Consider the following 23,954-nt stretch of genomic DNA (forward strand, 5'->3'; position numbering starts at 1 on the left):
AGTGATCTGTGGGCCGCTCTCAGGGAGTGTTTTCTAGCTCGGTGGGAAGGCAGGCTGCTTCCTAAAAAGTCTGAATTAGATGATCCTGGGCTGAAGGGGAGCCTGGAAAAACTTTAAAAATCACTTACAGAAATCAAATGTCATCTGTCCAATTTCTGTAATAATGGAGTGAAGGCAATGAATCATAAAGAAGGAATTATTTATCGTTTAGTCTGTATTTCAAACTGATCTTTGTGTACAGGTTTATCTGTTGGTCTGAGAATTCACAGCTTACTACAAGGAAGCTGAGAATTGCTTGGTGCCCCCTCCCCCCCCGACTCCTCTGTCCTGGGAAACGTGGCTTTGCCTCCCAGACACGTGTCAGATGCCAGCTCTCCTCAGCGGAGCCTCCTGATCCCTCAATTTGCCATCTGTCTGACTCGCGTCTTCCCGGGGCGTGGGGCGTGCTTGTCAGGCAGGCGGGCGGGAGGAAGGAAGGAAGGAGATCCAGGGTCTGTCTGGGTGCAGAGGCCTTCCTCCACCTCTCAGGGGGTGTTATGAGAGTAAACAGATGGTGCTGATACCAGCAAAGGACTCAAACTCAGCTGCCGACGCTGCCTAACGGAAGTCAGCCTGTCTCGGTGGCAGAGGGTTGACAAGAGGGTTGACTGCCAGCTCACTCTGGCCCCGGGGAGGACCAGGTCAATTCAGATTTTCCCATGACACATCCCTGACGAGTAGTTTTGTTAAGGGTGTGGCAGAAGCCTCCCCCCACATTACTGTTTTTCTAAATGAGGCCTTTCTAGGCCGGGCCCACGCCTGCTTAACCCACTGGTGATGTTTTTCAGAACAAGAACCTGGACTGGTTCCCCCGGATGCGGGCCATGTCCCTTGTCAGCAATGAGGGCGAGGGGGAGCAGAATGAGATTCGGATTCTCCAGGACAAGCTCAACTCCACCATGAAGCTGGTGTCCCACCTCACTGCCCAGCTCAACGAGCTCAAGGAGCAGGTGTGCACCCCGCCTGATCCCAGGCCCACCCTGGGTTCTATCCCTGGGCAGTCCCTGCCTGCCTTCATCCTTCCTGACCCACCCTCTTCCCCACTGGCCTCTGGCCCTGGGCCTGGATGAGAAGGCAGGTGCCAAACCCACTCTCCCCTGCATGGCAAGTCAGACTGGGGTTGACAACCCCTGCCTTGGGCCGCTAAAGACAAGGCCAAGTGGAAACTTTAGTACAGGGTGGTGGGGCCCTCTGTCTCTCATCCCCTTCCTCTGACAGCTGCCAGGTAGGTCCTTTGAGGGGATCCCCATCACTGGAGATGGGGGAGTTTAAGGCCCTCTTGCCTAGACATCCTCTTCTGCATCTGGCAGTGCCTGCATGAAGATGAGGCAGCCTCTGTTAGTGGGCTGGTTTCCCAGCTGCATCAAATCCAGGGTTTGTGACACGCTAATTGAGAACAAGGGTTTGGTGCTGACATCGACATCCTTAAAGCACCCCGAGGGGCCCTGGCCCGCCGCCAGTGCCGAATAGCAGCTGGGCCCACAGGGGAAGACGGGTGCCAAGCTCTTCCACAGCACCCATGGAGGGAAGGTGCCAGGCGGCCTGACCAGGCCTGTTGGCATCTGCTTAACCCTAGATGACGGAGCAGCGGAAACGCAGGCAACGCCTAGGCTTTGTGGATGTCCAGAACTGCATTAGCCGCTGAGGAGAGCCACCGAAGGCCCCAACAGGGGATGCTCATCACTGGAGACTGCGACTGGGAAGAACACTGCCCCCTCCCTCGGGTTGGGTGGCCCAGCCAGCTGGCCAGCCTCCACTCCCACTCTGCCAGACACCCTGACACCCACCCAGGCTTTGAAGAGCATGGAGGGGGAGCCTCAGAGCTGACAGTCCTGCTTAGAGCCCTTAAAAAGACTTGAAAGTTCACTGGGACTCAGTTTACCTTAATGCCTTAGCAGAAGATAAATCCTACCTAGAGACCTTTGTTCCTTAAAGCAATAACTGACAACTCTTTGTAGTCCTCCTTGTGGGTAGTTAAGAGTGGGGTCACCCCTTTAACTCCAAGCACTACATTTTGGCGGCTGCCGGCCTCTGGGGGAGGTGGCAGTTATGCTGTTACTAGTGATTTTAGGGCTTTGTTATTTAACTTATTTCAAGGGTGCTGTGCTCAGCCCTGCCCATGGCTGTGCAGCTCCCTCCGTGCCTCAGATCTGCTGTAGCCAGTGCAGACCTCACTGTCGTGTCCATGCCACCCCCGGCATGGCTCCAGGTGGCCTGGTGACTCCATGATGGACGATCTTGCTCCCAGGACCTGCCTCTTCCCAGGCTTCCTGGGGAAGAGTTGTACGCCCAGGCAACAAGGGCTGAGCTGCGCTTGCGTGGCTGTTTCATGACCGCTTGTTTTTCTCCTTTTGGTGTAATGTTTTACAAATCCTTTGGCCTGAGAACTAATATGTTAATTGCCTTAAATAAATTAATAGAAATCTAGTCCGTTAAAAAGGGATGTGTTTCCTGCACTCCCCCGGGGGCTGTGGGGATTAACAGGACACACTGGCAGAAGACAGGAACAAGAGCCCCTCCCTGCTGGCCTGGCCTCTCAGGCTCTCAGGAGATACGCTGAGTGACATCCTGTCTCAAGGGTCCTCCCCTGAGATTTGCCTACCCAGAACTGCATTTCGGCATAACTGGTTTCTACGGCAGTCCTGTCGATTTTATTTTATGCATTTCAGAACATCCTGAGGAGTCTAGACACAGACGAGGTTAAGAACCCACTTCCACTTTGTACCCACCAGGGCCGCTGTGGGCCCAGCCCTGTCCCTCACGGTTCCAGAGAGAAGGATGCTCAATATCAGTAAGAGCCAAGGTTCCATGGAATAATGAGGTGACCCTGTGTGTGTCCTCAGCCAGCAGGGCCTCTGACTTGTGGCCACCTACAGAACCTGCCCACAGTGCTGAAGCCAACTGCAGCTGAGGCCCCGCTTGGCCAAGGCCTGTCTATAGCTTCCCTGTCCCTTAAGCCAACTGGGCAATGTGGGTTTTTGCAAGGTCAGGGATAGAGGCCTAAGGTCCATCCTTCTCTGAGTCAGTGGGGATGAGGGCCAAGCAGGCTTTTTGCCTCTCTCGGCCTCACACCTCCCTACTGCTTTCTGTTTGCAACAGGATGCCCTTTTCAGTATTTACTGCTATTTTTGGCTTCCTCCCAGGAGCTCCTACAACAAAAGGGAGCCTGAGTATCTTGCCAGGAGACACCAGACCCGTGCCAGAGGGGCGGGGGCTCCCGTGGCAATGCAGGAAGCACCTTGTGCCGAGGCCCCATTACCCTCATCAGGCCCAGAGGGAAACCTGCATTTCCTCTCCCCAGGAGATTTCCCTACCCTGAGCAGCAGTCACAGCAGATAGCTCAATCACCATCCCTTCTCAGGCTGAAACTTTCTTTAGAGCAGCAAGGGCTTCCTTTCTGGGAAAGCTAGAGGAGATTCCCAAACCGTAAGGTCAAGGGGAAACTGGGGCAGTTTTATTGACGATGGCAATGTACAAGACTCCACACCTAGGTATGTGCACGAGGTAAGGCCTGAGCTCAGGCCTTATGATCCTCCTCAGGACCCTTGGGGGCAAACTTCTCCTGCAGTTTCTTCCACATGCCTTTATCTATTTCCTTAAGCTCTTCCAAGGTGTCTGCAAAAGGGGAAGACAAAAAGAGAGAGGGACTGAAGTCTAAAACTTGATGACATAGATTGGACCCACTGGGCTTTCCCGACACAAGCATGGCTTGCTTTTCACACAGTGTGTTCCTGAAAAAGGTGGAGACCCAGCTCCTGAAGAGCAGATCAAACAGGTAACAGAAGTGACCGCTTGCGGGGACTGAGCACTGTGTGCCAGACTCTGTGCCCAGCACGCTGTCAGTGGTCTCCTGCCCTCTCCTCACCCTCGGCATCAAAGCGGGATGTGCTGCTCGTTGCCCTGCTCCGTATGAGGGCAAAGAAATGGCCCTGCGCTGTCCGCTGTGCAACCCACAGACCCAGATGCTTCATCGCAAAATTTGGCCTGCTCCACACAGCCCTTCCTGTCCCCAGTTTTCAGGTGTGGAAACTGAGGCAGGAGGCAGTGAAGTAACTTGCTCAGGTTGCACAGCTGGGAAGTGGAGCAGGGATTTGAATCCTGGTGTGTGGACTCAGCACATGCTGTGGAGTTGAGCAGGCACTGGGAGGGGGATGGCCTTGGGCCTGAATCCGAGCCCATCATCTCCCACTCTGGGTCCCCTCAAGCAAATTACTTAACCCTCTACGCTTCGGGTTCCTCATCTGTAAAATGAAGATAAAAACACACATCTGCAGACAACTTGGGGAGAGGTGAAAAAGTAAGAAAAAAAAAACCACACGTACCTCAAAAGTTGTAAGGATTAAAGAAAAGCATGGAGGTAACTCGCTTGGCACACAGCCCGCACTCAATGAAAAGGCAGCCATCATCCACCACAATGCAGGCGGGAGGGGCTCTTGTTTAAGAACATACACGTCCCTACACCCAGGAACCAAAGCAGGGTTTCTTGGCCTTGGCACTACCAACACTTTGGGCCAGATAATTTTTCGTCGTGGGCTGGCCTGTGCATCACTGAAGGCTGTTTCAAAGCATCCTGGCCTCTACCCACTAATGCCAGTAGCACCGCTGCCCGCACCACCAGTTGTGACAACTAAAAATGTCTCCAGACATTGCCACATGTCCCCTGGGGGGCAAAACCATCCCCCCAGTACGGAACCATTTGTCTAAAGTCTCTAGGGCTAATGTTCCATGAAATCTAATTTTACGTGCATGTTAAATTTTAGATATTCTTATAATATTGTTTTGCTTTACCAGCCTAAATTTTCACGTTAACAAAACTACTGGAGAAAAAAAGAGTATCTTTTCTGACCAAAAAAGGTAACAGAAAAAAGCCCCTGCTCTGGAGCTTTTCCAGAAGTCCATGTTTCCAGTGTCCAGGTGGACACTGAGGCCTCCCTTAGGCGCTTTCCATGACCCCAATCCCAGGGTGGACACACACATAACCCAGAACACAGCACATTTCAGACTTGCCAGGCCCTCAAAGCCTCTCACTACAAGGTGCTGCAGGTCTTTTCTTGTCCTGTCAGAGGAAACATTTGGTAAGCTTACGCCACACAATTTGCAACAAAAATATGAGGCTTGCTGTGAAAACAAATTCTCAGCAAATTTCCTGAACTAAACTCGCTGCCAGAACAAGCTGCAGCGCGGACCAATGGCGGGACTATCTCCCAGCCTTCGTTGCTGCCTGTTTTCCACTTGCAGAGGCTGCCCTGAGGTGAACAAAACAGAGGGCAGAGGCAGGGCCTCTGGAACTTACTTCCGCCCTCACTTCAAGTTCAAACTTTGCTCAAACTGTCCAGGGCCCTCACAATAATGTGCATCAATGCTGCTAATTACACGGACCCAGGGATATAGGAGTAAATTTACACATTAAAAAAAATTGCCAATAAAGTGATTCTGCCTGGCCAAAATATCTTCACCACAGTTTCCCAGAGAGTACTGGAATAAAAATAGGGTTAGAGTTGACATGTAATAGCAGGTGACACCACCAGGTTTTAATCTCAGAAGAGAGTTTTCTAGAAGCCCAAATCCTCAAAACTTAAGTTGCTGAAGGCTGCCAGAAGAAGAGGAAAGACACATTTCTAGAATACCAGAAGGAAATGTGTCAGGGCCATGCCCTCCCAGAAAAGGTTAACCTATTTTTGTATATAATATACTTGGCAACAAAAATAGTAATTTTCCAGTACCTGCCTACTTCATCCCTGGCTCTCCGGCCCCCCTCCTTAGGGACAATGGAGATAGGGAAGTAAGGAAAGGACGGGCTTGGCAGGATGTTTCCTTTCTTGATAATCAGAGTCTATCAATGACTCTAAAACATACCTAGTTAAACTCATATCTAACCCACAGACCACGTCCCCTGGGTCACATAACTCTTAGGCGGATATCCCCAAACACGTTTATTGAATGGTTTTTTGTTTTAATTAAAACCTTCATTGTTTATAAAGCCCTCTTAAGACCATAAAAATAAAATTATTTTCCTTCCATCCTGATTTCAACTACTTCCATTTGGCAAATAGGTATTCCTCTGTTCCCTGATGCCCAGCCTTGAATTTAAAAGCCCTAAAGATAGATTTTCTTTTTTAAATAACGCCTTTGACCTTCTCCACAGTATATGGTCAAAATGCATGCGCCCTGTAGCTTCAGAATTTCCTCTGGGCTGTTCTACAAGACTTTCCATCAAGCAAAACTGTCTTCTTAGACAATTCCCCTTGGCCACTCAAACTCAGAATCATTTGCAAACCAATGAGAAAAGGCAGCTGTGCTTTCATTACCTGTGGACAGGATCAGCTTGTACTCTTCCAACGACAGGCCACTGAAGCTGGTGTCTCTGGGGCGAGGGTACTGGTCACCGGGGCAGAAAGGAAGTGAAGGGAGGGGAGAGATCAGCACACAAGCCCTGCTCTCTAACTGCATTTCACCTAGGCCCTGGGCAACCAGAGGCCAGGAGGCCTAGCAAGGAGAAGAGCAGCGCCACCTCGAGGTCAAGACTTGGCCTCGCAAGAACCAGTACAGTCTCCAGGAGGCAGCTCCAACTATAATGTACCCGTGAGTCCTCCCTGGAAAACGCAGGTATGGGTGGGGCCCCTGATTCTGCATTTCTAACCAGTTCCCAGGTGATGCCCATGCTGCTGCTCATGGATCACATGTTAGCAGGGAGGATTTAGAAAAAATCAATTTTCCACATAGGCATATGGCCACAAATGTTTGTGGAGTTAATGAGCATATTTTTCAAGTATGGGAAAAACCACTCTAAATGGAATTTGACAGTAATCATGTTGGGCCCAGCTCCGTAAAAGGAGGGCACTTTCCCAATCATCCCATCTTTATCACCAGAATGTGGGGAGGTGTCAGTTCCGTCAGAGTGGATGGGAAAATAGGTATAAATCCAATGGCTGTCAGACATTCCCAGGAGCACACACTGGCATATCAAATACATGGCTTCTATTCATAATTGGTTTTGTTTCTTCCCTATATTCACAATTTTAAATAGCTTTTATTTAGGTGGCCTAAAAGCCTCTACCAGGCACCTCTGTTGGCTTGGTTGAAATTACTGGTTTCATTTGAACGCAGCAAAGCCAAGTCTTTACAAAACATTACCTAATCAGATTTTCACTCATTCTTATTAGTTGTCCCGTCAGAAAGCTGGGTATATAAAAGACTGTGGCCCACTCACCTTGTGTTTGTAGTAGTTTGAATGGAGTCGCGCTAAGCTCTCGTACATCTGATCACAGGCCTCAGGCTCTGCAACCTGAAAAGCAAAGAATCCCAAAGGAGGTGAGCAAAGGAGTCCTGCCTCCCACAGTGTCTGTACCTTGAGGAAAGACCATACTTAATAAAGCGTTCACATGAAGCAGGCCTGCAGCTAGCACTGGCTTCTCCACTCTGCGGGAAGCAAACCTGGACTACAGCTCTGCTATTAGAAACTACTTTTTGGAGGCATAGCTCTGCCTCATCAACTCCCCAACCTACAGAAAAATCAGATCAATTAATCAGCAAACAAGCATTTGTTGAGCATCTGTGACTTGTGAGCCACGACACCAGCTGCAGTGGGAGATGCCACAATAGAAATGTAAGGTTGGAAAGGCGTGCCTAACAAAGGGGGTGCTGGGCAGAGTGGGCTACAGGGACTCAGTGGGGGAGTCCCCGCATGCTCAAGTGGTCAGTGCATGATGGAAGTGAGACAATGCTAGGTTCTGAAGGAAGCACAGCAGAAGGTCAGCAAGCAGAAGGTCAGCAAGCAGAAGGGAGAAGGGCAGGCCTTCCTGGGGGAGGAGATGCCGTCAGCAAGGAAGAGGAGGCAGGAATCCTGTGGGATGCTTCAGGCCAGACCAGTAGATTCTTTTGTTTTTTTTGAGACAGTCTCTCACTCTATTGCCCAGGCTGGAGTGCAGTGGCGCAATCTTGGCTCACTGCAACCTCCGCCTCCTGGGTTCAAGCAATTCTCCAGCCTCAGCCTCCTGAGTAACTGGGATTAAAGGCATGTGCCACCACACCCAGCTAATTTTTGTATTTTTTAGTAGAGACAGGGTTTCACCATGCTGGCCAGGCTGGTTTCGAACTCCTGACCTCAAGCGATCCACCTGCCTCAGCCTCCCAGAGTGTTGGGGTTACAGGCATGAGCCACCATGCCCGGCCTCAGACCAACAGATTCTTTTAGCAAAGGCAAAAAAAAAAAAAATCATCTGAGTTCTCAATCTATGATAAGTGGGGAGCTGCTGAAACTCTACAAGAAGGAAAGAAACATGAAGAAGGCAACATTTAAGATAAAATGTGTAAACTGAGGAGAACCAAGCCAGGACCACAGTTAGGTCCTGCTAGAAAGGAGATGGCCCAGAACACTGAGGCCTTGCCATAGAAAGGGTGATGTAAGTCAATTCTCTGGTGCCAGAGACAGCAGTGCCCCTGCTGGACCTTCTCAGGGAGACAGGCAGCATACAGAGGAGGTGTGGTCTTTTCTCTTGCACCTCTTCTAACTTTCCCTTTACTCTGTCCTTCCTATTATTTATGTATAGTTCTTTATATTTTTCTGCCAAGAATTTTGAAAAGCTCCCCAGAACAAAACTTTCTCTTTTATATTTTTTCCCCCAGAATTCAAATGATGGATTTTTTCCTAACTTAAATCCTTCCTTGGAGAAGGCAGAGCATAAATAAATCAGTAGTAAAGTGGTTTAATAGGCAGCTCCACTGCTGCCTCTCTGTGCATGTCAAATGAGGTCCCTACTTTACAGCAAACAAAAAAGACAATCCATCATTTAGTTCTACCTGACCCATTCCTGCGTTCAGGCTACTCATCATGAGAATGTACACCCAGATACATCAGAAGAGGAAGGATTATGGCCTGAGGAGGTGGCCAGCGTTTGCTGAATAATAAAGTCATTATCTGAGTGGACAGAATGAATGGAAAATATGAGGCTGTGGTCTCCCTGCTGCTGGTCAGCTTGTCCAGGGAAAGTCCCATTAGAATGGAATTCTGCACACATCTGGGCGAACACATCTGGAACATTTCTTCAGCAGGGCACGCACAGCCAAGAGCTAACGCTGGAGTGCAATGGCGTGATCTCGGCTCACTGCAAACTCCCCTCCTGGGTTCAAGTGATTCTCCTGCTTCAGCCTCCCAAGTAGCTGGGATTACAGGTACCCACCACTACGCCCAGCTAATTTTGTGTATTTTTAGCAGAGACAGGCTTTCACCATGTTGGCCAGGCTGGTCTCGAACTCCTGACCTTGTGATTTGCCCACCTCGGCCTCCCAAAGTGTGCTCACTTATAAATTTAACAGACATTCATCGAGACCCTATAGCATGATTGGCCCATCTATGAGCAGGGGACGCTTGGGTGAATGAGTATCTCCAAGGCTGTAGGGAGCAGGGGAGTCAAACTGCCTGGGTTGACTCCTGGCACCATCCCTTATCAGCTATGTGATGTCAGGCAAACCACTCACTCTTCCCCATGAAATACACTTAAAAAAAAAAAAAGTTGCCACAGTTTATCTTTCTCTGTATCTGTACATACATATCCTTCTTCTGATCCACTTGAAAGTAGGAGCATAATGCCCCTTCACCCCATAATATTTCAGTGTGCATTTCCTAAGAACAAGAACATTCTCTTATATAACCACAGTTCAATGATCAAATTCAGGCCACTTAACACCGATACAACACTATTATCTAATGCACAGTCCATATTCCAATTCTGTCAATTGTCTCAATAATAATCTATGGAAAAACAGGATGTCCTGCTGCATTTAACAGTCATGTATCTTTTAGTCTCCTTTAATCCGGGACCGTTCCTCGGCCTTTGTCTTTCATGCACTGAACATTTTTAAAGCATACTGGCCAACTTAACCTTTCTTTTAAAAGAAAATATAATAATAGCCCCTACGTCCCCGGTGGTGTGAGGATAAATGAGGTGACGCTTGGGCTGCTCTGAATTCCGGGCCTGGAACGCCGATAAATGTGAGCGATTAGTTTTTCTCACAGTTATTAGTAGTAAAGAGTTGTAGTAAACACAGGCCCCTGTCTCATAAAATAAGAGGGGAAAGGACAGAACAGTTCAGAACCACCCTGGTGGGAGTGGAATGAAGGGGCATGTACAAGGTGCTATGGGCCTATGGGGCCAGGCAGGAAGTGCTGGACAATGAGTGGCTGAGGATGGGCGCATGTACCGGCAAGGGAGTGGGGTGCTCCAGGCACAGGACCAGGTGGAGCCCGTGCCCAGGGAATGGGTCAGCATGTTACCAGTGGATCAGCATGGCTGGTGTGCACTGCCGAGGGTGGCGCTGGAAACGGAAGTGAGGAAGGATGAAAAACTGCTGAGGCTTCACTCCTGACTGACCCTGGTGGCTCTCAGCAGTCACTGAGCTCTCCATGGTCTGCCGAGAGAGCAGCTGTTTGCTGTACCTGGTCTTCACCTGATGGCCGCTTATCTGGACCTTCCCGTCCTGCCACCATCCCCACCACCTTCCCAACCAAGCTCTTAGGAAAGGAGTCCACAAGCTGATCTGCCTTCCTCCCATAGCCTCTGCCTCTCTCCTGGGCTCCTAACACTGCTTCCTGATAAACCTGCATTCTGACCAGATCCCCACCCTCAAATACCTTTCAACTCAAGTTCCCTTCCTGCTCCAACTTCTCTAGCAGTGAGAAGTCACCAGTAGGTTGCTCAGCAACCTTGTATCACACCCTCAAGCAGGTGTGGTATAAGGTGCTGTCCTTCCTTGCCACGTAGTCCCATCCCTGATGAGCAGCAGGACAGACAGGAGGGGCATGGGGGGCGGGTCACCCTTGCAGAGTGCTGCTCCTATAAGAGCAAAATGTACAAAGTCTAAGTGCAAAAAGCAAAGTGACCCTCAGGTACTCTCACTTCTTTTTTTTTTTTTTTTTAGATGGAGTCTCACTCTGTCGCCCAGGCTGGAGTGCACTGGCACAATCTTGGCTCACTGCAAGCTCCGCCTCCCGGGTTCATGCCATTCTCCTGCCTCAGCCTCCCAAGTAGCTGGAACTATAGGCGCCCGCTACCACGCCTGGCTAATTTTTTGTATTTTTAGTAGAGATGGGGTTTCACCGTGTTAGCCAGGATGGTCTCAATCTCCTGACCTTGTGATCCGCCCACCTCGGCCTCCCAAAGTGCTGGGATTACAGGCTTGAGCCACCGCACCCGACCACTCTCACTTCTGAAACTTCCTGTGTGAAAGAGACAGTCTCCTAGAGAGTTCCCAGAATTCCTGGACTCAGCTGTAACCTGAGAAAGAAAACCAAACACCTGAGTCCTAAAACAGACTTGCCATCCAGTTTCCCGTCTGAGGTCAGAAGGTGTCTAACTGAGGCTGTAAAAGCAGCTCAGTGGAGGTGACAGGAGTTTGAGACATGCCCATTTCTAGCCAAGTTCTTACTGCTTGAGGAGTGATGAAGCCTTGGTCAATGCTGGGTTCCTAGCCACAGATAACTCAAGCTCAGCAATTAAAAAAGTCATGCTTACTACTTAAAAGGATGTCAGTGGAGACATCTGTCGAATTCCAGAAGCCTCACCACGTTCCTATAGCTTACACTTTATTCACAGACTCCAGCACTAACATTCCTGAGCTCTGAAATGCAGTTTTTCTGATGAAATGGACGGTGCATTTTTAGAAATATTCTTAATACATGCTTTAAATTACCTGATTTTGCATTCACACCTAATGAGATCACAGACGTTTTAGGACTAATAGCAGTGCTGGGTTTGAAAAGGCAGCAGTGGGGACATTATGAAAAATTCAGCACTGCTCCCCAAATGTGAATAAAATAGATGTTCATCTGACGAGTGTCCTTTATAGCTCTATTTTTGCTCCTTTTGCATTTCCCCTGTTCAGTCGTCAGTAAATTTCTCTTTACCATATTAAACTTTTATACATACAAATCTACATCAGTGCTGCAGGCACTGATTTCGATTTTGCAAATTGAATTTTGGGTGGTGACAGCAATTGGTACAGCGGCCCCTATTCTAGTCACACAAAGGGACGCATAAGCACTTTTGGGAAAGGGTGTTGCAAATTGCTTTGCTAATTAAGGTAGAGCTGGATTCGGTCCAGGAGGATCTATAAAAAAAGGTTTTCAAGACTTGGTAATGAACTTCTGAAATGAGTTCATTCTGTTATGGGAGCCTATTCCCTTCAATTGAGTTGAAAATGTATTTCTTGAGCACCTACTATAGAAAGAGTGCTCCACTAGGGGACGGTGAGGGGCCACAAAGACGACGACCCAGGCCAGCTGTGGAGAAGCTGGCAGGCACACTACAGAGACAAGATACACATGAATTAGAAACCAACCCTGCCCGGGGCAATGTGTAAGTGAGAGCCAGATCTGCGGAGCACGGGCCGCTGCACGAGACCCGAGGTGGGAGTTGGGCACCTGGCTGTGCTGATGGGGAGGTGTGGCAGGAAAGGGCTGAGTTTCACTGCAGCGACAGTGCAGAGAGTGAGGAGTGCCAACCTGGGCATGAGTGACACAGGGACCAGAAATGACTGGGAGGATGAGGCATGAAGAGGCACAGGACAAGAGTGTTTTAGGCAGACAGGGCTTTTAAGGGGAACCCAGGGAGGGCTCCAAGAGCCTGGGAAGCCACCAAATTCTTGACAAACTCTGTGTTTGGGTTTTTTGCGGTTGTAGGGGTGCAGTGATCCACAGCGCACTTAAGTCTCAAAGGATCAGAATTGCTTGTACCATGGCCAGTTTGGGAGACCATGAGAAGACACCCTTGCTGAGCCTGGGGCTCATGTTAGGGTGGTGCGAGGCAAGGTTGGAAACACAGGCTGGGACCAAGGATCAGAGGCACTGCAGGTCTCACAAAGTTGCCTGCCACCTGCCCAGGAGGCAATGGGCAGACCCCAAACATCTTTGAATAAAGTAGTGACCCACCAGAAGTGGCCAAGAATTTATCCCTTCAGGTGGAGCACTGCAGCTTTACATATGCAGAGATAAACGCCACCCCTTGGTGTGAATACTACCCTAGCTCACACTGGCGCCATTCAGAATTGGGAGAGAAAAAAAGATGGAGATGTTTGTATTCCCTCTTAGAGATGATTCTCCTTACAACTCCAGGTTTTCGATGGGCTCAATACATAATTAAAAATAGGATAATCTGTTCTTAGGACACTCTTCAAAAGCATAACTTCAGGGGGCCCACAAGTGGGGGTGAGCAACGTTGAGATGGCTTCACCGTGGCCAGCATATGCCAGGTGGCTTGGGAGCTAGCTCCCTGCCACACTGAGGAATGCCAAGGACCAGGCCTCAAATGGATGACTGAGAAAACAGAATCAAAAAAACCTTTGAATTCTCCTCTGAGAAGGTGGAAATACCATTTACCTTATTAGAAACCCAAGAAAAAGTTTAACTTCTTTCAAACTGGGCCAATATTATTATACTTAAACTTGCATACAATACAGTTAGAACTCCCTGGTGGGCGAAGAGCAGCAGCTCTTCTAGGACGCCCCTCGGAGTTGCACCTTGTGCTACATAAGTGGGTGCTGGTGTGCAGTCCGGGATCTTTTAGGAAGCACCTAATGAACTCATTAGAAAGATCTGCTCCTTTCTCTGTTGTTAGGTCAACAATTACATTTGTTGTGCCACCTTCCCCCACGTTGCAATTCTTTTATTAAGCTCTCAGCGCTGTAGGAAACACGTGTTCTTAGACAAACTGTATTCAAAATTGGCAAAGCCCATAAACACTGACTTTTTAAAACTACACAATAGGATATGGGGTGTAAGAGGAGTTACATGTGTTCCCGCTCCCACCACCACCTCCCCACTTGGTGGGTTTAGGGTGGACCACAAGACTCCCCAGAGGGCAATTTGAGGTGGAATAAATGGAGGCAGTGGTTTTTGTACTCTGGTTTTGTGTATGAATTATTGATTTGCCCTTTAGTTAACCCAGCTTTTCTCCGCCTGGTGTCCCACCCAGGACCATCTTTCTTCCCATCTGGACTGGTAGTGGCTGGGGCAAAGAATAGGTGGGTAAACACAGGGAGTTCCATTTGCTGCCCAAACTATCTATGGCCCAAAAAGGTTTGAACGGGCAACCAGGGGAAGGAAGTGGTTTGACGTTCATGGAATAAGAGGTTGTTCTAACAATAACTTGGAACAGCAGCTGAGGAAAGGCCAGGCACCCAGGAGACGATGCACACTAGGGCCAGAGGGGCTGGGTCTGTTTCTCACTTGGCTTGTCTCTTATGGCTACGGAACCCCCAGTGCGTTGTCTTGTTTTTCTGATGTTTCCTCATCTGTAAAATGGGAACAGTAATGGCTACCACTCAGCTGTACTAAGGATTAAATGAGATCACGCCGGCAAAGGTGCACTGTGCACCTTTCAGGGTGATCATTAGGACGAAGGAAGCCAAGAGGCTGAGAGGAGGACTGACTGCCTCTCTCCTCTACGGAAATGGAAAGACGGCATGAGCAGAGCTACTTTCCCCTCCAGTTCTGTCTTCTGGCAACCGGCTTAACCAAGGAGGAGCTCCATACTAGTCAGTCAACTGGATCTAAGCCCCACCTCCTGCTGCCAGTTTAATGAAGAGCCTACCAGAATCATCTTGCTTTCTCAAGGTCTTTATAAATGATCTGGGGGTGTCAGTAGGAGTGACTCACAATAGTGTTTTCAATTCCAGCAAGGAATTGCGCCCTTCAAAAATTACCACAAAGATTTACTAAGGCCAGGTGCATTCTCAGGTGACATTAGGATGAGGTACCGCAACAGTGGTCCTGAGTAATGCACCTGCTGCCATTGTGCACTGGTTCACTCTACCAGGAATGCATTCATCAGCTGCTACAGAATCACTAACACAGCCATGAGTTGCATCTGCAGCTGGGACTCAAACCTGTGTGGGCCTTTGACTGATCAGAAACGATTGCCCTAGGTGATGACAACTCCGAAAGAGAAAACTCTTTCCTCCTTTGCTGGCTCCTCTTACACTAACAATCAAGCAAGTGAATGTTACGCTCTCTCACCTCCCCAAGGATGGAGCCGCTGACTGCTCAACTGTAAGCTCCTCAGTGGTGAAGGCCAGGTTATGGCCTTCCTCCATAGATCCTGCAATTTCCCAAACATGGTAAGCTCTCAAATCAATTCTCACCACTCAGGACACACAAATATTCCTTTCTCACTCTTCACAACTTCTCTTCATCTAGTTCTGCTACATCTGAAACTATATTCAAATTATCTTTGTCTCATGAGCCACAACCAATTATTTACTTATCCATTCAGACATTTACTGAGTGTTTTTTTATGGGCCAAGAACTAGCTAGACACTCGTAGGGGAGAGAGGGAAAGATAAAAATGGCATCATCTCTATTTTCAGGAAGCTCATACTAAAAATATGCAGGGAGTACAGCTTTAGAAAGTTCACGGGTTTGTAGAATTGGGACTAGATAAGATTCTTGCCTTAAAGATCTTTACACTTTGGGCCAGTGAAGACCACCATGAATAATGTGAGGGCCCTGGGTATCGTATAACCTGGGCCAGACACTCCCCAGGCTGCCAGCCAATCAGCAGTACAGTCACAATGATGCCACTGGGCGTGCTCCTGCTCCTTTAGGTGGGCTGGCTTGGCTCTGTTTCGGGCTAAGCTGAAAAAAAAAAAACCCATGTTCCTTCTGTAACAAGTCTTGGCCAAGTTTCACAAGTCATTTCTTCAGACTGTGTGTATATGCATCTCATTATCTCATTTCATTTCTGGTCTCTTGCCCGAGCCCCAGGCTCAAATATAGCACTGCCTACTTGACATTGCCACTTGGAAATCAGTGTACTTGGCATCTCAGGTTTAACCTGCTTAACACCGAACTCGAGATATTCTTCCTACACTTCACCTATTCCTACCTCAGTAAATGGCACCATCTTAGACCTAGATGCCCAGGCCAAAAAATATCTAGGTGCTATCTTTGGTTCCTCTCTTTTCCTTTATCCCACATCCCATATATCAGCAAGTCCTGCTGACTCAACCTGCGCATAACCTGAATCCAACCACTTCCATCTTCTGTGCTGCCGTCCTCATCCAACCCCCCACCATCTGTCGCTTATAGTACCATAATCGGCTTCTCTCCAGCCTCTTTTTTTGTTATTGCCCCCTATAGCCCACTCACCACATACAACCAGAATAGTCTTTTAAAAAGTAAATTAGGGCACATCAGTCCCCTCACTAAACATCCCCAGTGACTTCTCACTGGCCTTATAATGAGGTCTAAAGCTAATCAGAACAGATAATATCCTACTGTGCCTGGCTCCGGACCTTCACCTTAGCAAACTCCACCTTACTTACTACCCTGCAGCCATTCTGGCTTTCTTTCTGTCCTCAAACATGTCAATCTGCCTCCTGCCTCTGGACATGTGCAGTGTCTGGAATGTCCTTCCCGCCAAGTGTACATGGCTGGCTCATCCTCTTGCCTTAGGTCTCACCTATGTGTCATCTCCTCAGAAAGGCCCCACTAATAACATTACCCTTTTATCACGCTACCCTATTTTCTATCGATCACAGTACTTATCTGTCTTACGTACACTTACCTGCTTATTGTGTCCTGAACTACAATGTAAAACTTCATGCGGGCAGGACTTCACCTGTTTAACACTGCTGTTTCCCTAGCACCGTTCCAGGCATATGGTAGGTGCTCAATAAATACGAGCTATATGAATGAATGAATCCCAGAGCTGCAGCGCCAACCTGGAGGAAAGCAAGAACATAGGCCTACTACTCACACACAGCTGCGTGAGCTGAGGACCCAAACCTGCTGCACAGGCTTACAGGGGCTCAGGAAGAACGCAAACGCTTAGCGGGGACCTGCAGAGTTAACTGGGGATTAGCTCAGTCAATACACAACACTGCGAAATAATGAGGTAATGCTACCGTGACAAGGAAGCAAAAAGCTGAGGCTGTCACCAGCTGCCACTGGTGGTGTGGGTCTCAACTCTCTCTGCACCTTGAATCACCTGGAGAGCTTTTAAAACTCTGAGGTCAAGACCCCACCCCTAGAGATTCTGCATTTGAAGTTTTTGTTTGTTTTTTGATTTGTAGAGACGGAGTCCCACTATGTTGCCCAGGAGGTCATCCTGGGCTCAAGCGATCCTCCCGCCTCGGCCTCTCAAAGAGTGCTGGAATTATAGGTGTGAACCGCCGCACCCGGCCCATCTGGAGTTTAAAAAAAGCTTCTTCGGCAATTCCAAGGTGCAGCCGGGGGAGAGCGCTGAATACAACGGGCGTCGCTATCAGTAGCTCCCTGGGGGAAAAAGGGGGTCCGCGCTCACGTGCTGCCTGGAAAGAGGGCGCGCGCATGCGCAGATCCCCCTGCTAGCGCGCTCGTTGGCCCCGCCCCTGCCTCGTCCTTTCCTCCCCTCGTCCCAGCCGCCTCCCCGCCGGTCACCTGGGTATTCTCTCCCTCCCGAAAGGCCTGTGCTACCCGCTGTCGCAGGTAAGCGCCCAAGTCCCGGCCCCGTTTGGTCTCGTCCACTGGCCATTCCTCACAGAGCTTAAGAAAACGCCGGTACCGGCTGGCCGCCATCTTGGGCCCCGCGTGTTCCCGCCTTAGCGGGAGGAGTCGGCGCCGACGAATGGCGCTTGCGCACTAAGCCTCGCCGCCTGCCTTAGGAGTGGAGCGGGAGGCCGGAGTGGGCATGCGCGACTTTGTAGGCGCACCGCTACTCTCCGTGTAGGGGCGCTGCTCGCCTTTCTCTGCAAGCCGAGCTAATTCAGTCTTCGTCCTCCTGGAACCGGCCCAGCTCCCAGGGGCAAGGCGGACGTGGAGTACCCCAGAGACAGCTTTGCGTCTCTTTTTCAATGACTGCACAAGCTTGAGACTAAAAAACCCTCCCCCGAGGCCTCCGCTGTTTTGCATAAACCAATATATTTGCATGTAAATACAGGTTACTGGATGAAAATATGTTTGAACGTTGTTCGTGGGTGCCCCCGTACCTGTCACTATCCCTTGGTACTCGGCCTCAATTCCTTCTTTAGTGCTTCCTAGTTCTTGTTCTTCTCTGCCCAGTCCCTGTTAGTATCCCTTCTGTTCCCCCCTTCCTACCCCTCATAAGCCAGACATTTTTCTCTGGGAGGCGCAGGTTTTCTAGCATGAGCAATGCCAACTGTGTTGATTCAGACTAGAAAAACTTTTTTTTTCTTTACAATTTATTATTTTGTATTGTGGTAAAATACACATAACAAAATTTACTATCTTAACCATTTTTTTTAGACAAGGTCTTGCTATGTGGCCCATGCTGGTCTCAAACTCCTGGGCTCAAGTGATCCTCCCACCTTGGCCTCCCAAAGTGCTGGGATTACAGGTGTGAGCCACCACACCTGGCCTTAACCTTTTATTTATTTATTTATTTATTTTGAGATGGAGTCTTGCTCTGTGGCTCTGTCGCCCAGGCTGGTGTTCAGTGAATGGCGCAACCTCCGCCTCCCGGGTTCAAGTGATTCTCCTGCCTCAGCCTCCCAAGTAGCTGGGACTACAGGCGCCCGCCATCATGCCTGGCTATGTTTTGTATTTTTAGTAGGGACAGGGTTTTACCATGTTGGCCAGGCTGATCTCGAACTCCTGACCTCAGGCGATCCACCTGCCTCGGCCTCCCAAAATGCTGGGATTACAGGCGTGAGCCACGGTGCCCAGCCAGCCATTTTTAAGTGTACAGTTCATGGGTATGAAATAGCACTGAATAATGTTGTGCAGCCATCGCACCATCTCCGTAACTCTTGTAAAACTGAAACTCCATACTCATTAAACAATAAATCCCCATTTCCCCCTCTCCCCCCAGCCCCTGGCAACGACCATTCTATTTTGTCTGTATGATTTTGACTACTCTAGGTACCTCATGTAAGTGGAATCCTGCAGTATTTTTGCAACTGGCTTATTTTGCTTAGCATAATATTTTCACTTCAAGGTTCATTCATTTTGTAGCATATGTCAGAATTTCCTTCCTTTTTAAGGCTGAGTAATATTCCGTTGCATGTATATACCACATTTTGTTTACACATCCATTGATAGACACTTAGGTTGCCTCCATGTTTTAGCTCTTGTGAATAATGCTGCTATGAACATGGATGTACAGACATCTCAAGACCTTGCTTTCAATTCTTTTGGTATATACCCAGAAGCGGAATTGCTGGATCATATGGTAATTCTATTTTAAGTTTTTTGAGGAACTGCCATACTGTCTTCCACAGCAGCTGCACCATTTTGCACTCCCACCACCGGTGCACAAGGGTTCCAATTTCTCCACATCCTTACCAACATTTGTTATTTTCTGGTTTTTTGATAGTAACCATCATAATGGGTGAGGGCTGTATCTCAATGTAGCTTTGACTTGCATTTGTCTAATGATTAGTGATATTGAGTATCTTTTTATGTGCTTATCAGCCATTTGTATATCTTCAGAGAAATATCTATTCAAGTCCTTTACCTGTTTTTAATCGGGTTTTTTTTTTGTTGTTGTTGTTATTGAGTTTTAGGAGTTCTCTGTATATTCCAGATATTACTCCCTTCACAGCTATGTGATTTCAGAATATTTTCTCCCATTAAAATGTGTTTGTTTTATCAAGTCTTCTCTTATATGTCTCTAGCTACATCACCATGTGGACTAATTTTTGTTCTCAAAAGACTGTCCCACCATCTGCATTTTTCATAAGAAAGCCTCAGCCCCCCGTATATCTCCACTATCCTGTATTTAGCCAAGACCATCCAATGTGTACAAAACTTTGCTTCCTCCAAACCTTTTCCTTCTTGCCTTACCTACATTTTAAAGGTGAATCTAGGAGAGTCCTGCCTTCAAGAAGTTGATGGCCAAGTCTGGGAATGTGTACATAACCAGGACACAAAGTTACAGATGACGAGAGCTTTAACTGAAGTGTTAGACAATGCTAGAGAGTTTGGAGAAACAGATGTCTGCTGTTCAGGGGAGAGTGGGAGAAGATCAAGGATGGCTCCAAGAACAGCCAGAGGCAGGCCTGGGGTGGCAATGGGAAAGAGAGGGAGGAGTTTAATTTGAGGAAAGATCAATGGGTGATTTTAACTGGAATGGCTTTAACTGTTCCGAAGATGTTAGGAGTCAAGACCATTAAAGGAAAACCTCTGGGGACCAGAATGTGTGATGCCCGCTGAGGTAAGGAGAGTTCAGGGGGAGTGGAAAATGAGGCGCCCAAGGGCACCTTCTCCAGAAAGCTCCCCTGATTAACCCCACCAGGTTCCCAGCCCAGCAGTCCCTCCTTGCTCCATCCTCACCTCATAGCCATGTAGTTTTGATGACACCCCTAAGGCACAAAGGGCAAGGATTGTATCTATTTACTTACCAAGGTCCAGGCACCTAGGGCTGTGCTGGGTGCCCCGAGGCGCTGTCATAGCCGTGGCTTTGAAGAGCACCTGACTGGTCCACATCTGTCCCAGGAGGCAGAGCCAAGGTCCCTCTGTCTTAGGCAACCAAAAAGTAACATTAGGTGGCAGCAAATGGTTTTCATGCTGCTTGAGGTACAAGGACAATGAGAGGTTGAGAAGAATGCTGGGCTCCAGAGGAAGCGCAAACAGATGCTTCCTCCTAAGGTGCTCCCTTCCCCTGTACCCTAGCTTCTCCGTCAGGCTGTGGTTGTCCCTGGTTCTGACTGCCCTGCCCACCTCTCTTCCTCCATATGGAGGTTGTTTGGCATGGTAGTTAAGTAGTAGGGTTATGGAGTCTGAGAGACCTGTTTGGAATGTAGGCTTGCTCATTCATTCATTCATTCATTCATTCATTCATTCACTTACTCACTGATCTATAGCCCTGATCACTCTATCAGTATAATTTTCTGGGGCCCAGTGCAAAATGAAAATGTAAAGCCCTTTGTTAAAAAATTGTTAAGGCCGGGCGTGGTGGCTTGTGCCTATAATCACAGCTACTTGGAGGCGGGAGGATCACTTGAGCCCAGGAGTTCGAGACCAGCCTGGGCCACATAGCGAGACCCGCATCTCCCCAAAAATTTAAAAAATTAGCTGAATGTGGTGGTGCACACCTATAGTCTTAGCTGTGTGGGAGGATGGCTTGACTGCTTTGAACCTAGGAGTCAGAGGCTGTAGTGAGCTGTGATTACACCACTGCACTCTAGCCTGGGTGACAGAGTGAGACCTTGTCTCTAAAAAAATTGTTAAGAATTTCAAGACAATAACAGCAGAGCATTAAAGCAAATGTAGCCCCTTCTGAGTGCAGGGCCCTGGGCGACTGTGCAGGCCACACACCCATGAAGCTGGCTCTGAGTTCCTGTCATGTGGTAGACAAGACAGGTGAGGGCCCTGCCCCTATGAGGACAGACAGCAACCAAGCAAACATATAATAATAATAGTGCTCTATATGTATTAGCTCATTTGCTGAATGAACAAGATAATTTCAGATGTGATAAGTGCGAAGGAGAGATCAAGGCAGAGTGCTGGGTCCACAGTGATTGGGGCAGGGGAGGGGTCAGTGGTCTGGAGGCCATCCCTGAGCAGCTTGTGAGTCACCTGAGGGGGCAGCCACGGGAAGATGGGCATGAGAGGCTTCCAGGAACAGGGCAGCAAAGGCAAAGGTCTTCAGAGCAGCCAACCCCAGGCGGGTTATTTAATTGCTGTAAGCTTCAGTTTCTTCATCTTAAAATGAGAACTATGATGATAAATTAACACCGAGTATTTACTATGTGCCAGCACAATTTTTTTTATTTTAATTTTTTATTTTTATTTTTTCTTTTTTAGAGACAGGGTCTCACTCTGTCACCCAGGCTGGAGTGTAGGAGCACAATCATAGCTCACTGCAGCCTCGAATTCCTGGGCTCAAGCGATCTTCCTGCTTCAGCCTCAGCCTCCTGAGTAGCTGGGACTGCAGGTGGCCACCACGATGCCCAGTTAATTGTTTTATTTTTTGTGGAGATGGGGTCTCGCTATGTTGCCCAGGCTGATCTCGAATCCTGGACTCAAGTAATCCTCTGGGCTTGGCCTCCCAAAGTGTTGGGATTATAGGCATGAGCCACTGTGCCCAGCCCAGGCACAATTCTAAATGCCTTACATGTATGGACTCATTTAGTCCTCACAATGGCTCTCAGATTTATGTACTACTGTTATCCTGCCATTTTTACAGAAACTGAGGAAACTGAGGCACAGAGAGGATAAGGTCACCAGCTGGTAAGTGGCAGAGCCAGGACTTGAGCCCAGGCTGGGTGGCTCAGAGCCGTGCTCTTGGCCACTCCCTCAGGCACCTCTTCAGGCCCCCTTGCAGCATTATCATCGTAAACCATGTGCGTGGTGTGTTTATACACCTGGTGTAGCCTTGGCCAGTGCCAGCACAAAGTAAGCCAACACATCGCAGTGGCTCTTATTGATCATTTTCTAGGCCCTTTTCCTTTCCCTGTGCCTGAAGATGGTTTCAGCCAGTCTGGACTGACCCGCTTGTCAATCACCCAGCGCCATTCCTAGCACATTAATAGGCACTGCCTGGAATGCAGCTGGGTGGTGCCAGCACCTTGGGGAGTTGATGACCATTTTAACACCTACCTGCCGGCTGTCACTCATTCCACACTGAATGCCTCATTGAAAACCCCCACCAGGGCCTCACCTCCCAAGTCATTTGGAATGGGTATTTGGGCTTTATGGAACGCTGATTGCTCTTTATAGAAACTAGGCACCATCAGGGGGAGGAGAGAGGAGGGAGGGAGCACTTCTTCGGTTTTTCAAGTTATAATGATCCCAGTAATCGAGACACCGAATTGCACATTTAAATCGCTTGCAAGTAAAAAATATCGTTTTGTAATGCTGGTGTTAATAATGTAAACATTAAAAAGGAATTAAATACTTAGCTTCATTGTGGAGCACAACTGCGTGAGTTTTCTTCTTTCACCTTATTCAACTGGAGGAAACGATTGGCTGCAATACCCAGATATGTTACCCAAAAAGTGGGTCTGGACTTGCATCAGAATAGTGAGTCATTTCATGCCTCCTGTTAAAGGTAGCTGGAAGGGTCACTCTGGTAATAGACTGCTGCCTTATTCTGGAGGTGAGCTTTTTTTAAAGACATGTAAGTGTTTGAGGTGTGCTGGGATAGGCTCAATGGGGACCTGAAGTGCAGCCGAATATATCCAAAGCCCCTCAGTTCTGCTGAGATGCCTGTCATCTGCCCCAGGGATCTGCTGCCTCTCTGCATCTGTTCCGTAGTAGATGTCACCTGAGAGCAGGTTTCCTGACCCTCATCTAAAGTAGCAGCCTCTTCTCTCTTGTTTGCTTTTGCCTCAAAGCACTGGTCACTGTTTGACAGCAGGGCCTGGTACCCACTCATCTGTAAATATTTGTTGAGTAAAAGAATCTGAAGAGAATGAACGACCTGAGAATATAAGCCCAGGTCATCTGGCACCCCCACCACCCTGTCCCCAGCCTCAGCCCTTCCCCTTTAAGTTGCCCATCTTCGAGGGCTGGGGGAGAAAGGCTAAGGGAAATTGGGAGCAGGTAGATTTCCAGGTTTTGCTCTGGGATTTTTTTTTTTTTTTTTTTTTTTTTAAGACAGAGTCTCACTCTTTCACCCAGGCTGGAGTGCAGTGGCGTGATCTCAGCTCACTGCAGTCTCCGTCTCCTGGGTTCAAGCTGTTCTCCTGCCTCAGCCGCCTGAGTAGCTGGGACTACAGGCGTGCATCACCATGCCGGCCAGTTTTTTTATTTTTAGTAGAGACGGGGTTTCACCATGTTGTCCAGGCTGGTCTTGAACTCCTGACCTCAAGTGATCCACCCACCTCGGCCTTCCAAAGTGCCGAGATTACAGATGTAAGCCACCGCGCCTGTCTGCTCTGGGATTGACTCTCAAACTTTCTGTCCCATTTCAGGGCAGTCTAGTAGTGGAAGGGAGAAGTTCTGAGGATGCATAATAAAAATGGCCCGAGCCTGGCTG

General features: G+C 48.6%; 2 protein-coding genes, 1 long non-coding RNA gene and 1 other non-coding gene across 10 annotated transcripts in view, besides 6 other annotated features; 2 read left to right on the forward strand and 2 right to left on the reverse strand.

Annotated features, from left to right (window-relative positions):
- Positions 1–2,466, forward strand: part of ITPR3 (inositol 1,4,5-trisphosphate receptor type 3) — a 75,241-nt gene extending 72,775 nt beyond the window's left edge. For all 6 annotated transcript variants that reach the window (NM_002224.4, XM_047418731.1, XM_047418732.1 and 3 more), the window contains 2 exons: positions 828–989; positions 1,616–2,466. In NM_002224.4, coding sequence (NP_002215.2) covers positions 828–989; positions 1,616–1,684 — 231 coding nt within the window. In that variant the 3' untranslated portion in view covers positions 1,685–2,466. The remainder of the gene's footprint in view (positions 1–827; positions 990–1,615) is intronic.
- Positions 364–1,563: an enhancer, noted in NCBI's record as "CDK7 strongly-dependent group 2 enhancer chr6:33662237-33663436 (GRCh37/hg19 assembly coordinates)". NCBI's record gives its function as "activates an origin of replication core promoter dependent on BRD2, BRD4, P300/CBP, MED14 and CDK7 cofactors, with strong dependence on CDK7, by STARR-seq in HCT116 cells {active_cell/tissue: HCT116}" and the evidence as "EXISTENCE:reporter gene assay evidence [ECO:0000049][PMID:35650434]".
- Positions 2,668–17,604, reverse strand: UQCC2 (ubiquinol-cytochrome c reductase complex assembly factor 2). The gene is made up of 4 exons (NM_032340.4): positions 17,453–17,604; positions 7,250–7,324; positions 6,348–6,417; positions 2,668–3,654 (listed from the first exon to the last, which is right to left on the reverse strand). Exons 1-4 carry the CDS (start codon positions 17,588–17,590, stop codon positions 3,557–3,559), a joined length of 381 nt encoding a protein of 126 aa, NP_115716.1. The 5' UTR covers positions 17,591–17,604; the 3' UTR covers positions 2,668–3,556.
- Positions 3,460–4,435: an enhancer, noted in NCBI's record as "H3K27ac-H3K4me1 hESC enhancer chr6:33665333-33666308 (GRCh37/hg19 assembly coordinates)". NCBI's record gives its function as "activates a minimal SCP1, AML or CMV promoter by ChIP-STARR-seq in naive H9 embryonic stem cells {active_cell/tissue: H9 hESC(naive)}" and the evidence as "EXISTENCE:reporter gene assay evidence [ECO:0000049][PMID:30033119]".
- Positions 4,032–4,138, forward strand: MIR3934 (microRNA 3934). The gene has a single exon (NR_037498.1). It is a non-coding gene; the product is annotated as a microRNA 3934 (primary transcript).
- Positions 10,292–10,791: an enhancer, noted in NCBI's record as "H3K4me1 hESC enhancer chr6:33672165-33672664 (GRCh37/hg19 assembly coordinates)". NCBI's record gives its function as "activates a minimal SCP1, AML or CMV promoter by ChIP-STARR-seq in primed H9 embryonic stem cells {active_cell/tissue: H9 hESC(primed)}" and the evidence as "EXISTENCE:reporter gene assay evidence [ECO:0000049][PMID:30033119]".
- On the reverse strand, positions 15,483–17,353 carry LOC124901304 (uncharacterized). Of its 2 annotated transcripts, none has more exons than XR_007059548.1 (3): positions 17,212–17,353; positions 16,599–16,755; positions 15,483–15,667 (listed from the first exon to the last, which is right to left on the reverse strand). It is a non-coding gene; the product is annotated as an uncharacterized LOC124901304 (long non-coding RNA). The 2 variants fall into 2 exon arrangements; XR_007059549.1 differs by lacking the exon at positions 17,212–17,353 and adding an exon at positions 16,939–17,151.
- Positions 16,200–17,097: an enhancer, noted in NCBI's record as "NANOG-H3K27ac-H3K4me1 hESC enhancer chr6:33678073-33678970 (GRCh37/hg19 assembly coordinates)". NCBI's record gives its function as "activates a minimal SCP1, AML or CMV promoter by ChIP-STARR-seq in naive H9 embryonic stem cells {active_cell/tissue: H9 hESC(naive)}" and the evidence as "EXISTENCE:reporter gene assay evidence [ECO:0000049][PMID:30033119]".
- Positions 17,124–17,173: an enhancer, noted in NCBI's record as "active region_24368". NCBI's record gives its function as "activates an Ori minimal core promoter by ATAC-STARR-seq in GM12878 lymphoblastoid cells {active_cell/tissue: GM12878}" and the evidence as "EXISTENCE:reporter gene assay evidence [ECO:0000049][PMID:35858748]".
- Positions 20,316–20,610: a silencer, noted in NCBI's record as "tiled region #11056; HepG2 Repressive DNase matched - State 8:EnhW, and K562 Repressive non-DNase unmatched - State 20:ReprD". NCBI's record gives its function as "represses a minimal TATA promoter and a strong SV40 promoter by Sharpr-MPRA in HepG2 and K562 cells {active_cell/tissue: HepG2 | K562}" and the evidence as "EXISTENCE:reporter gene assay evidence [ECO:0000049][PMID:27701403]".

Source organism: Homo sapiens, chromosome 6 (assembly GCF_000001405.40).
Source record: "Homo sapiens chromosome 6, GRCh38.p14 Primary Assembly".
Classification (NCBI taxonomy): Eukaryota; Metazoa; Chordata; class Mammalia; order Primates; family Hominidae; genus Homo; species Homo sapiens.

Coding starts and splice junctions, on each gene's coding strand:
- UQCC2 (NM_032340.4), bottom strand. CDS start 17,590: ATGGCGGCCAGCCGGTACCGGCGTTTTCTTAAGCTCTGTGAGGAATGG. Junction 7,325..17,452: donor GGGAGGGAGAGAATACCCAG/GTGACCGGCGGG, acceptor TTTGCTTTTCAG/GTTGCAGAGCCTGAGGCCTG. Junction 3,655..6,347: donor CAAGCTGATCCTGTCCACAG/GTAATGAAAGCA, acceptor CCCCTTTTGCAG/ACACCTTGGAAGAGCTTAAG.